Below are 13,664 nucleotides of genomic sequence, written 5' to 3'. Positions count from 1 at the left end.
TGCCCTGTCCCAGCCAAACTCAGCCAAATCTACCTCCAGCCCCCTGCCCTGGAGCTCAGGTGGCAGCTCTCTCCAGGCCTTTCCAACAGCGCCTTCAGCAAAAGATGAGATGTTCCCTCAGTTCCCAGGGCCTTGCTCCAGCTCATGGCCAGTCTTCCGTCTCCCCACTTTCTTGGCCCCTGCAGCCAGGCCACATAGCCTGTCTCCTCTGGGACACACTATACCCTCCTTTGGAGCTCCTGACCATGTCTCTCTTCAGTCCCAAAGCTGTCCGTGGCAGCCCCTACTCTCTGCAACGCGACCTCTGCCTTCTCAGTGCTCAGCACAGCAGACCCATGGCAGATAGGAGTAAAGAACCCACGGGTTACTGACAGCTTCCTGCAATCACTGGAATTTTGTTAGGGCTTGGGTTTTCGTTATGGACAACAAGATGGGCGTAGGAAAGTGGATTAGTCAGTGGAGGAGGGGATCTACTGCACCGCCAAGCACCCACGTGTTTATAGCTTCTCCCATATTGCCTGGAGCCTGCAACTTACTAGGTGATGTGTAATTTACTAGGGACTAGGGAAGTAAATACCTACTAGTCACTAGGTATTCAAATACCTAGGATTTCTTTTTTATAAAATTTATTTTTTAAAATTTTACTTTAATTTTACATGTGCTAATTTTACTTGTAATAATTTACAAGTAAAAATTTTTAAATTTTACTTTAATTTTACATGTGCCAAACGTACAGGTTTGTTACATAAGCATACAAGTTCCATGGTGGTTTGAAGCACCTATCAACCCATCATCTAGGTTTTAAGCCCCACATGCATTAGGTATTTCTCCTAATGCTCTCCCTCCCCTTTGCCCCCACCCTCCGAAAGGCCCTGTTGTGTGATGTTCTCCTCCCTGTGTCCATGTGTTCTCATAGTTCAACTCTCACTTTTGAGTGAGAACATGCAGTGTTTGGTTTTCTGTTCTTGTGTTAGTTTGCTGAGAATGATGGTTTCCAGCTTCATCCATGTCCCTGCAAAACACATGAACTCATCCTTTTTTATGGCTGCATAGTATTCCATGGTGTATATGTGCTACATTTTCTTTATCCAATCTATCATTGATGGGCATTTGGGTTGGTTCCAAGTCTTTGCTATTGGAGATAGTGCTGCAATAAACTTAAGTGTGCATGTGTCTTTATAGTAAAATGATTTATAATCCTTTGGGTATATACCCAGTAATGAGATTGCTGGCTCAAATGTTATTTCTGGTTCTAGATCCTTTAGGAACCTCCACACTGTCTTCCACAATGGTTGAACTAATTTACACTCCCACCAACAGTGTGAAAGCATTCCTATTTCTCCGCATCCTTGCCAGCATCTGTTGTTTCCAGACTTTTTAATGATCACCATTCTAACTGGCGTGAGATGGTCAAATACCTAGCGTTTCGTAAGTTTAAATTAAACACCTAATATTTAATAGCTAAGTTTAAATGTGAGGTATAGATAGTATTGAAATAAGTAGGTATTCAGCTACCTAGGATTTGATAAGCAAGTTTAAATACCCAGTGTTTAATAAGTTTAAATATGAGGTACAGCTAGTATTTAGATAGCAGGTATTCAAATACCTACTATTTGATAAGTAAATATGTAGTGATTTACAAGGTCTTGCCTAGAAAATCTGATGACATAATTGTGAAATGGTGACTGTGAAAAAGGACTCTGGAAGGAAATCCACACACGTGTTACCCTGGTAGATGGGAAGGGGGAGATGCGTCTCTCCCAAATACAAGTCCCTGGGGAGGGGTTGTGCATGGACCTGTCCCTTCCCTCCTGCCGGTTCGGGAACACTCCAAAGGCAGGGTGCTTGGTGACCCCTGTGTTCTGGTGCCAGTCCCAGAGCTGGAGACGTTTAAGTCATTTCTAAATCAACAATACCCACCTGCAACATTTATTTAAATCATACGTCCCTCGGGGCAACTAAAGTATGATTTTATTAACAAACATTGCGATTTTATTAAGCAGTCCAAGAACTTTCCTAGCTTGAGCGAGGTTCTCTGTGGTCGGCACACAGCTGGGTTTCCTCCAAGGAGCCCTTGATGAGAAGGCCATGTGGGAACCTGCTGGGAGGGGCCCGGCCTTGTTGGTGCTGGAGCTCAGTCCCCAGGAGGCTCCTCTGTCTTCTGATGTTCCACAAGCCACGAGCCGCCTCTGCACCAGAGCTGACTTGTCTGGAGAGGATTCCGCACAGGTGGCTGACCCCACCGGGCTCTGATACCCTTCAAGAAGAAGGGAATCCTCAGAGTGCCCAGGACACAGCACCACAGTCGGGGAACAAGCAATGCCAGGGCTGGCCGAGGGGGCTCCAGAGGGGATGGCCTGCTCATCACTGTGTAAAAGGCAGATTCTAAAGACCAAGACCCCAGGCCCAGTGACATGGGATGTGCAATGATGCAAGCCGGGCTCCAGCCCTGTTCTCAGAGGAAGCGCTGCTCAGTGAGAGCTTTCTGTGTCGTGGACCCTCTAGGACGCCACTCACAGTGTGCTTGCAACACTGGCAGCTTTTACTAAGTGTAGTAAGTCGGGGGCTTTTGAGTGATTTTCCTGGTAGTATCAATGTGGGCTACTTCAAGGCACTTTTGTGCCAGTGTCCTGTGGACCCTTCCTTAGCCATGTCCTCTGAGCCTGGGAGTGCCCACTGGCCCAGCTCAGACTGTAGTGGGTGGCTGGGACATCACAGTTGCAGGGTGACTTGCTGACCACACCTAGTTATCACATGCCTTGAGATGGGAGGAAGTCCAAGACCCCCACTCCAGATGGGGGACGTTGAGGAATAAATGATGCGTTGAGCCTGCCCAGGACTCCACACCCAGCCGTGGCAGCCCTGGGCCCTGATGTTCAAAAGCCCCAGCAAAGGCCTCCAGCACCCCAGCTGTGTGGGGCCCAGCAAGTCTCACAGAGAGGACAGCCAGCCTCCATGCTCCCATGGAAATTACTCTGTCCTCAGCCGGCTCCTCTGGGCAGAGGCCTTGCCCAGATAGAGGGCTCCAGAGGGGACTGCCTGTACATCACTGTATAAATGGTAGATTCTCAAGATCAGGACCCCAGGCCCAGCGTCATGGGAAGTGCAATGGTGCAAGTTGGCTCCAGCCCTGTTCTCGGAGGACCCGCTGCTCACAGCACCAGCTTTGAACTTCAAGAAACATGTTCATACCATCCCCAACATAACCATTAACCTCACTCAAAGGAACGGCAGTCCCACTGGAACGCAAGCCCCTCAGGGTGGCCAAGTCAGTATGCTCTGTCCCCGGCCCCTAGAAGGTGGCCTGGCTTACAGCAGGTCCTCCATAAATACCTGTGGAATGAATATTCCATGCACTCCGGAGAAGCCTGCAGCACACAGGTGGCTGGGGTTTATGGAAATCCTGGAATCTCTGACTGGAATCTCTGTCTGGAATCCCTGCCTGGGGAGTCACCATCGCACACACGTGAAGGCACCGAAGGAGCAAACGCAGCCGCTGGTGCTAAGATGTGGCACTGCTCACTTGGTGCCGTAAGCTAGAATCTTGTTAATTGGCACCCAGAATTTCTTAAACATCTGGTAACTCCTTTTGCAAACACAAGCATGTTCGTGAGTGTAAGCTCCATTTTGCAGAAGGAAAATTGGAGGCCCAGAGATCCATGGGAAGAGGTGGGGTGGCTGACAAATGCTGGAGAATCCCAAGGTTGGATTCCAGATGATGTTTATGGAGGACCTGCTGCAAGCCAGGCCTCCTTCTAGGAGCTGGAGACAGAGCACACTGACTCAGCCACCCGGAGGGCCTTGCGTTCCAGTGGGACTGCCATTCCTTTGAGTGAGGTTTATGGTTATGTTGGGGATGATGTGGGACATGTTTCTTGAAGTTTGATTTTGGAAAACCGCCTGTTATTCTCCGAATTGCAAAATATGCAGGTGACTGCATGTGCACGAGCTTGTTGAGTTTTAATTTAATTTTTAATTTTATTTTATTCTGAATGGACATCTTGCCACCCAGTGAGACTGTGTCCCCAAGGGTCATCAGGCCTGCAACAGTGTCAAAACTGAGAGAGAGCCTGGGCCCGGCCACAGTGTTTCCGCATATGCTTGGGTCCCTACTCCATGCAAGGAGGGCGTCACCCGGGGCTGGGACCCATCAGGGCATGGGTGCCCAGGGCGGGTTCTGGCATTTGGAAGGGACGGTGAGATGCCAGGGCTCTGTCTGCACAGGGTTGGGAAACAGTTGTTGGGCTCACTCCTCCCCACTGAGCCTGGGCGTGCAGGCAGAACCCAGGCGTGGGGGCGGCCTGGAGGGGCAGGCTGTGCAGACAACAACAGGAGGGACCAGGTGCCTGCAGAGGCCTGATGGCCGATGGCTGCTGTTTCCACTAGAGGGCTCAGGCTCGTGCAGGTGTCCCTGTCTTCCCAGGAGGGCAAGGCTACCTGGTCGGCACAGCTCTGCTACCTGTTGTGAGCTGAGCTGAGCTGAGTGAGGGTCCCAGCTGGGGGCTGCCTCAGGGGCCTGCAGTGCCTGAGGCTATTTGCAAAGAGACAGGGCCACCTAAGAGTTCTCCCCTTCAGTGCTCAGTGGATACATCCAAATTGGGCTCCTTTTAATACTTCTCTGCCCTTTTTCTCCTTCTGCAAATACCGGAGGTTGCTTGTAACCCCCAGAGCAGTCTGGAACTCACTGCCTCAGTGGGAGCAGCAGGGGAGAGTGAGCTATAGAGCAAGATGTGCAAAACTCCCCCCTTCCAGCTGGGGAGGGCCAGAGGCTGGTCCTGCTGCGCGTTCAGCCTCAGACCAGGCCCCCACACCTATGACACATCAACACCAGGATGGACCCTCAGATGTCGCCCCTAAGATGCTCACAAACTCGCAGTGGAGGATCAGGAGATGAGCTGTTCATGGTTTCTGACATCATGAAAGCCTTTATCAGAATGGATGGGGGATCAACAGTGGGTCCCCCAGTGGCTGTGGTCAGCTGAACAGAGGTGTCTGTGTCCTAATTCCCAGAACCTGGGACCGTGTCACCTTCTATAGGAAGAGGGGGGTCTTCGCAGATGTGATTAAAGGCTTGGGCTGGGGAGATGATCCTGGACCTTCTGGATGGGCCATGCATGCATCACGAGTGTCCTCCTTCCCAGAATTCCTCTTACTCCTTGGAATGCCCACCCTGGAATTCCCATCCTGGAATGCCCCATTCTCTTTCCCCCGAGGCCTAGTTGAGACCATGGGAGTTGACATGTGAGAGAGACATTCTCTCCCTGTGTGCCCCAGCCTTGCACTGCTAGGGGGAAAGAAATGATGGGAAAATTCGCTTGGAATTCATTCTCAGAAGTGTGTGTCCACCCACTTCCCAGCAGTGCAGGGTTTCCAGGAAGGGCCAAGAACTCTTAACTGGCCTCAAAGTGGCAGTCACCTCTAGTCCCCAGGATGAGAGGAAATGGCTCAGACCTGTTAACTGGGTGGCTTTTCTACAACGGCTGAATTAGTGAAGGAATGACCAAGCTCTGCCAAATTCCCTGCAGAGACTCCAGCAGAGGAGCTGGGCAGAGGCTGGACGTGTCAGCGTGAGCCGGCCTGCCCCACCCTACATGTATGCATGGATTCTGGGCCTTGGGGTGAGCGCGGGAGAACCACTGAGCCTGTTTGCAAAGGATGGGGCCACCTAAGAGTCCTCCCCTTCAGTGCTCAGTGGGTGCATCCAAACGGGGCTCCTTTTCATACTTCTCTGTCCTTTTGCTCCTTCTTCAAAGACCAGAGGTTGCTTGTAACCTCTGGGCCTTTCTGTGGCCCAGAGGTGGCCACAGAAAGCAGAAATCTGTTCACTCCATCATCAGGCATTGACTGAGCAGCAGGCACTGTTCTGGGCACAGGAAAAACAGCGAGAACAAGAGTCATTCATACTCTACCCTCACGGAGCTCACATTCCAGGGGGAGCCCGAGGAGACCAGCAAACAAAACCTGAGTCAACACAAAGCATGGACGACAGGCTAACAGGTGCTGAGCGGAAAATAAATCACAGAGTAGGGGCATTGGGGTGTGGACGATGCGGTGGCACTGAGGGAAGCTGCCATTTAAATAGGGCCACGGGGAGGTCTCACTGGAGCAGAGACCAGAGGGAGCGTCTCCAGGTGGGAGTTACAGAGAAGCTTGGGTGACAGCATCTAGGCAGAGGAAGCAGCCGGTGTGAAGGCTGCCTCACCCGGCAGTGAGAGATTACTCCCTAGAATGCCCGCCCTGGAATTCCCATCATGGATTGCCCCATTCTCTTTCCCCCTCTTTCCCTGGAGGCCTAGTTTTACCCCTCTTTCATTGCCCTGTGGTGAGAGATCCCTCAGTGACAAGGACAGGGCACCTGGAGTCAAGTGGAGAGAAAATGCTTCCTTGGTAACATGAAGCTTGGGGCTCTGAAACTGTCCTTGTCAGAGCAAAACTGGAGGACTGGAGACACAAGCTTTCATTACAAGCAGGTGACTGGCTGGCTCTGCTTTCAGGACCTAACAGGCAGAGGGAGGGGTCAGGGCAGCTTTCAGAGAGCAGCCCCTCTGCAGGGCCGTGCAGCACTCAGGACCCAACAGCCCGCATGAGACTCAGCGGCTTCCCAGTGCTGCTGAGGAGCAGGGCGGCATCAACGGAATCCCAAACCCACGTGAAAGCTCCCCAAGAATGGGTGCCAATTTCAGGCCCATCGTCACGCGTTGGCCCCACCTCTACTGCTCCCCGTTTTCGGAGGATTTACTCAAGGCTACTTGGTGCCTGTGGATGGCAGAACCACTGATCTTGGTCAACCAAGACAGCATGCGTGTTTCTAGTGCCGCATCTCCAAGAGTCCTTGTTCAGAGATGAAAGTGGCCAGGACTGGTTCTGGGGAAAGAGGCCCCCTTGGTTCAGTAGAAAACCTGACACGGTTTTGCTGAAACGCAGGAGATGCTGTTGGGAACTGGGTGCCTACTGCATGCTTGTTTTGTCCTGGTTGCAAGCATGGATCACCTTGCTGGGTGACTGTGGAGGAAAAGTGAAATATTAAATTTGAACTCAATTGAACATGGACACAAACAATGGTCCCAAGTCCTAGAACAGGTTGTGTGAGCCACTTGAGGCATCCATCCAGTGCTGTTTCGGAGAAATCTCTATTTCAGTCTATTCCTATACATTAGTTATTGAAAAACAATAGACAATCGCAAAAACAAGCTGACATTTTGTGTTCCCTGAGCCCAGTCTCGAAGGGCCCTCGTGACTGGGCCTCATGCCAAACAACTTGTTACAAAAAGAGCGAGGGTCCCAGACCGCACCAAAACTTCATGAGACCTCTCCTTGTCTGTGCAAGGAAGAGTGGCCAACTCTGTAGCTCGGGCTGTTCCTTCCCACTCTGGCGGTGAATCCTCCATAGTCTGGTGAGTGTAAATATCTTTTCCCTTTTCCCCTTCTCATTGCAATTTGCTTATTATATCAATCTGCTTATTATTATATCATTTGCTTATTACAGCTCCATTGCCATTTACGTGGGATAAAGCTTGTTTACCCTTAAAGGTATTGTGTGTGTGTCTTTTCTTCTCCCCTCACGCGTTTCCCACAGAACATTTTTGGCATCAGGAACAGGATCCGAAAGCGAATGCATGCCATTTTTCGGCTGCAAGGACCGGGCTGGGAGCTTGTGGACTTCCCATATCCTGGGATGGGAACTCCCCTGGTTCTCCCTTTTGGCCATTGAGTGATCCAAGGGAACTGGCCTTTGGGAAAATTGTGGGTGTAAATTAGTGCATTTTGAACCATTGGCTGTGTGTGAGGCTCTGCAGGGAATCCCGTTGGTAAAGGGGACGCTGAGGGAATTTCCTGGCATGGAAGGTGCTTGCTTACTGCTTATGAGTTGATATGTCAAGATAGAAACTGGTTGCTTCAAGAGAAATGTAAGCTGGAAAAGGAAAACGTGAATCTGACTTCCAGACTGGCCCTGGCCCAATGCCAGGCCTATGTCTTGACTGATCAAGCTCAAAGCTGTCAGCCTATTGCTGAAGAAAGCAGCTGTCCAAGTGGCCTAGTCAGGGTAGAACTGAAGAACTAGTCAACCGGGGCTTGGAGCAGGTAAAAACCCAGCTCCTATCTCAAGGATAAGAAATTAACCCTAGTAAAATTCAAGGACCTGCACAAACTGTAAAATTCTTTGGCATTCTATGGAATGCAGGGAAATAGTTTATTTTACCAAAGGCTAAGGCTAAAATACTAGAATTTGCAACCCCTACCACTAAAAAGGAGGCCCAAACATTTGTTGGCTTGTTTGGATTCTGGAGACATCATATTCCCGACTTGGGTAACATTTTACAACCTCTGCATGCTGTCACTAGAAAACGCTACGACTTTCGCTGGGGAGAGAAAGAGAGCACGGCTTTTAACAGGCTAAACAAGCAGTGCAACCGGCCCTGGATCTATGGCCCTTACGGGATGGGCCAGTAGAACTGCAAGTAACGGCCGGGCGCGGTGGCTCACACCTGTAATCCCAGCACTTTGGGAGGCTGAGGCGGGCAGATCACGAGGTCAGGAGATTGAGACCATCCTGGCCAACATGGTGAAGCCCCGTCTCTACTAAAAAAAATACAAAAATTAGCCGGGCATGGTGGCGGGTGCCTGTAGTTCCAGCTATCGGGAGGCTGAGGCAGGAGAATGGTGTGAACCCAGGAGGTGGAGCTTGCAGTGAGCCGAGATTGTGCCACTGCACTCCAGCCTGGGCAACAGAGTGAGACTCCGTCTCAAAAAAAAAAAAAAAAAAAAAAAAAAAGAACTGCAAGTAACTGTCCTAGATCAATATGCTAACAAGAGCCTTAGGCAGAAACAAGATGGGAATAAGCTATCTTTGGAATTTTGGAACCAGAAGATGTCAGAGGCCGGCAAAGCTTATACCCCTTTCAAAAATCAACTGTTAGCTTGCTATTGGGCCTTGCTGGAAACAGAGCACCTTGCTTCAACCATGATGTCTTTTTGATTATGACTTGGATCCTGAGTTCCCCTAGAACTCACTGGTTCTGACGAAGGAAGCGGTGGGAGCACCAGCTGGCTGAATTGGTAGCCGTCCTCCAAGCTATTTAGGAGGAGGCCAGAGGGATTTGTCACATGTCTACCAACTCTTGGTCAGTAGCAAATGGTCTTACTACCTGGATGCCCCAATGGCAATGAAACAAATGGTTAATTGGGAATAAAGAGGTTTGGGGAAAACAATACTGGGAAGATATCTGGATCCTGGCGCACACCACCATTATCACTGTTCTCCATGCTGATGCTCAAGCATCTCTGCTTTCTCTTAACAGACTATTTAATCAGCAGGCAGATCAACAGACCAACACTTCCACCATAACTGCAAATTTGAATGCGGATGAATGGATTACAACACGTTCAAGCCTTACAATGAGAGGCATTATAAGGTATGGTGGTATAATTGATAGTGATTACTGGGGAGAGTTAAAGCTCATTTTATACAATACCACTCCAGATTCTTTTGCTATAAATCCGCAGATGTGGGTTGCTCAATTGTTAGTGGTACCTTGTCAACAATTAACCCCTGAGGAAATTTCTGCCCCAATAGAAACAACATATAGAACCGGAAAATTTGGGTCCATCGGAGTGGGTGGGCAACTTAAAACCTTGAGCCAAAATATGGGTGCAGTGTCCATCAGGTCCCGCCCCTAAGGCTGGTGACCTTGTAGCTATAGGAGCAAAAAATGAAGGCATAATACAGTTTCCTAAAGATGAAAAACAATGTCATGTTCCCCTCCAGTTTTGTTATTACGAATAATCTGTCTGCTAGAAATCAGTACTTGGGTCATCATGTCTGAGGCTGGGAATGAGTTCAACAACTGGGTAGCCACTGCTGCAACGGAAGCCAACTGCAGTCGGCACTGGCTATGCATCAAGCTGCCGGAGGCCGCCAGGAATGGGCTACCTCGGAGAATCATCCCTGCTAACATTTCTGAATGGATATGCCAATGCCAATGGGTACAGGATAATAACATTTGTAATCCAACCTGGACTTTTTTAACCAAACTAAACTGTCTATTTTTTCCTAAGCCCAAATGAGACACAGCACTCTTGTTACTTAAATTACACATTACAGCAATACAATTGTAGTAGAACTCTTCCTATTCCCTGGGGGACCCGCTGGGTATGTGGATCCTACAGGTGGTGATACCTGCCTCCACATTGGTCGGGAAGATGCACTTGGGGGTGGCCATTAATTCCATTCACCATCTGGGATAATATTCCCCTCCCCAGTAATCTAGATGCTTACAAACACCGCTGGTTGCGGATGTGCCAGACTCCCTGGTGGTGGTACCCTATCACAATATTCTCCCCTGCCGCCGGTGCAATCCTGTTTCAGCAACAAATTTAAATATTAAGTTTTCACGTAGAAAAGGCTCTTAATGATAGTAGCACTGGACTTACATTGTTATCAGATGAATTTGCTCAGCTGCATACTGTTGTGTTGCAACATGGAATGGCATTAGATATGCTTACCGCCGTCCAAGGAGGGGTTTGCACCTTACTGCATACTGAATGTTGTGTGTATATCCCTGACAATTCTCACAATATGACTCTCCTTGCAAAGCCATGCTGGGTGTGGTTTTTATTAATTGTGTTTTTAATTCTGTGCTTATACTGCATCTGTAACCTATATCAACTATGCCTTCCCCATGTATCTGTAAGGGTATTTTCCTATAACTGAGTATTAAATGGAGGCCGAATGTGGAGGAAAAGTTAAATACCAAATTTGAACTCAATTGAACGTGGACACCAACAATGATCACCAAGTCCTGGAACAGATTGTGTGAGCCGCTTGAGGCGTCCATCCAGTGCTGTTTCAGAGAAATTTATATTTCAATCTATTCCTATATGTTAGTTATTGAAAAACAATAGACAAATTGCAAAAACAAGTTGACCTTTTTGTCTTCCTTGAGCCCAGTTGTAAAGGGCCCTCGTGAATGGGCCTCATGCCAAACAACTTGTTACGAAAAGAGCTCGGGCCTTAGACTGTGCCAAAGCTTCATGAGACCTCTCCTCTTCTGTGCACAGATGAGAGGCCGACTCTGGAGTCCAGGCTGTTGCTTCCCAGTCTGATGGTGAATCCTCCATAGTCTGGAGAGTGTAAATATATATATCTCTTTTCCCTTCTCCCCTTCCCATTGCAATTTGCTTATTATATCATTTGCTTATTATGTCGTTTGCTTATTTTAATTTGCTTATTTTATTAATTTTCTTATTATATCTGCATTGCCGTTTACGTGGGATAAAGCTTGTTTACTCTTAAAGGTATCACGTGTGTGCCTTGTCTTCTCCCCTTGCGCGTCTCCCGCACAGAACAGTGATGCTCCAGCAGAGCTTCAGGGCTTAAAGGGAAATGCATCTATTCTGGTCTTTAAAGCACTTCTGGGTCCTGCAGCTTCATTCTGGCCCTGTTAGCTTAAGCCTGAAATTTGACAAATGATACTCTTCTGGGCTCAGCTAAGGTACCGGGGTTGGGTGAATGGGGGTGACGCCCAGCGCCAACCCTGCCATTTAGAAGTTTTCAAAAAGAACTCACTCTGAAGCCACATCATTTCCACTGAGCCCATCTGGCTGCCTTTGTTGGATGCTGGAGGATAAGGGAAGGAAGGCAAAGGAAAGGATATCCCGTTAGGAAGCATCAGTTGCCACCTTTTAAACTGTAGGATCAAGAATTAACCTCTTGGATGGCACCATTCTGGTGGGTGTGGCCACTGCCCTCGTGGGTGGAGTTGGGGCCTGAGACTGTGCCACACACACCTGTTCATCCCCGAAAGTGGTCAGTCACACACTGGGGACAATGTGGAAACTTCTTGCCTGGATGTAGATATCCCAAACTGGCTGAGAGAGAAGAGGTGCTAGCAGTCAAGATCCCCCTGAAAGGTCTAAAACATTCACTCAGCCTGGTTTGGTCTATTGACGTGGTTTGGTGTCTAGATAAAGCAGTTGGCATGTATTCAAGGGACTGTGCTATAAAAACAGCAGGAGCATTTGAACAAGAAGTTTCTCCCAATCCAGCCAGATGCAAAATGTGAGTGTGGTGGCCTGGCTGGGGGCAGCAGATCCAAGCCCCTCTCTGGCAGAGCATGGGGCGGGGCAGGGGCCACCTCACCACTGAGGCTACGTTTCTCTCTCTCGGGAGGACGTGCCTGCCTCCTCTCTTAGTCTCCCTCCTCTTCACTGAGCTCACACAGCTTGAATTCCTCTAAGGGAAATGTAGGTCTGCTGGGCTTTACTGTATCAATGATGAATTCATAAATGAGTGAATAAATGAGCAACATTGGATGTGCCCTTCTGAGGACCTCTGGATGCTGAGGGTGATCTCTGCTCAAGACTTCTCATGGTCTAGTGCTGGGAAATCAGGAACCCACAGGTGGACCCTCTGTTCCCAGGCCAGGTCCCGTTACTCAGCTCTCATCTCTGCCTTGCTGGACAGAAGTTCAACCCGGTGTTCCAAATGACTGCATCAGGGGAATGGGCCTCTACCTTTGCTCTGCTGTCTAAACGTCTTTGTCTGCCTTTGAAGGGTATTCACATTCTGCCTCCAAATTGAGTTTCCATCTCACCTCTTATGATCCCTTTCACCCTCCTGAATCAGTAGCATCCAATGCACAGTCTTCCTTCTGTCCTCTGAGCCTTTACAGGGAGTTCCTGATCCCCTTAGACTCCCTTGATCCTCTCTCCTGAAGCTCCCTCTCCTGCAAGCCTTCCTCAGCACCCTCCCACAAGCCTGGTCAGTCCTCCTCTGCTTCCTCCAGCATATTTTTGATTTCCCTTTTGCTTTACAAATGACAATACAACATGCATCTGTTTTCTTTGCAAAACTGTGTTCTCCTTGAAAAGAGGGTCATTATTTATCCTCGTGGCTGGTACCGACAACAAGCCTGATTCATGGCGGGTTCCCAAGGCCCCTGCCGGTTTAATGGAATAGTTAGGCTTCCTGCACAGACATCCCCAGGGAGGAAGCAGCGTGGAAGGAAGCCCTTCTCCTGATTCCAGACAGGGGATGGAGCAAGGATGTGGGTGCGGCTGTGCTTGTGGCAGCTGCCTCCTCTTCTAGGACCAGGTCATGTTGGATGACTTTGGTGCCAAGGGGCAGCAATCCCCTCTATATTATCATCATGTACATTTAATTTTTGATTTTAAAAAAGTGATGTGACATTTTTGCAATCATGGGAAAACCTGTCTCAGTTTTTTTTCCCCACAAAAAGGATTTAAATAATCTCACCTCTTTAAGTAGCTCACAGTACCAACCCTTGCCTTGGTCTCAGCGGGGACCAGCTGTGCTGTCCCGGTCACCATCCCTGATCCGGCCAAGACCTTCCTTGGGAAAGTCCTTTGGAAAGTCCTTCCTTTGGAAATTTCCCAGAAGAACCCGAAACTGCAATGGGATGAGACCGTGCCTCTGGCCTTTGTGGTAAGGCAGTTCCGGGGCTGCCGCAGTCACCCCGCCAGGGAGGAGACGCAGAGGCAGTACCGAGCTGCGCCACCAGGGGCAGGAGATGGGGCGCTTCACGCAGACCCCGATGTGAAGCTCAGTGCAGCCTTCCAACCGTGCGTTTCCAGACTCTCACTGCCTGTGGGGTAGATCCTTTGGGCATCTCCACCGAGACCCCAATATGCACTTGTCAGAGCCT

Source organism: Homo sapiens, chromosome 1 (assembly GCF_000001405.40).
Source record: "Homo sapiens chromosome 1, GRCh38.p14 Primary Assembly".
NCBI classification, from domain to species: domain Eukaryota; kingdom Metazoa; phylum Chordata; class Mammalia; order Primates; family Hominidae; genus Homo; species Homo sapiens.
The sequence above is the reverse complement of the archived record's forward strand: the minus strand, read 5'-3'. Positions refer to the sequence as shown.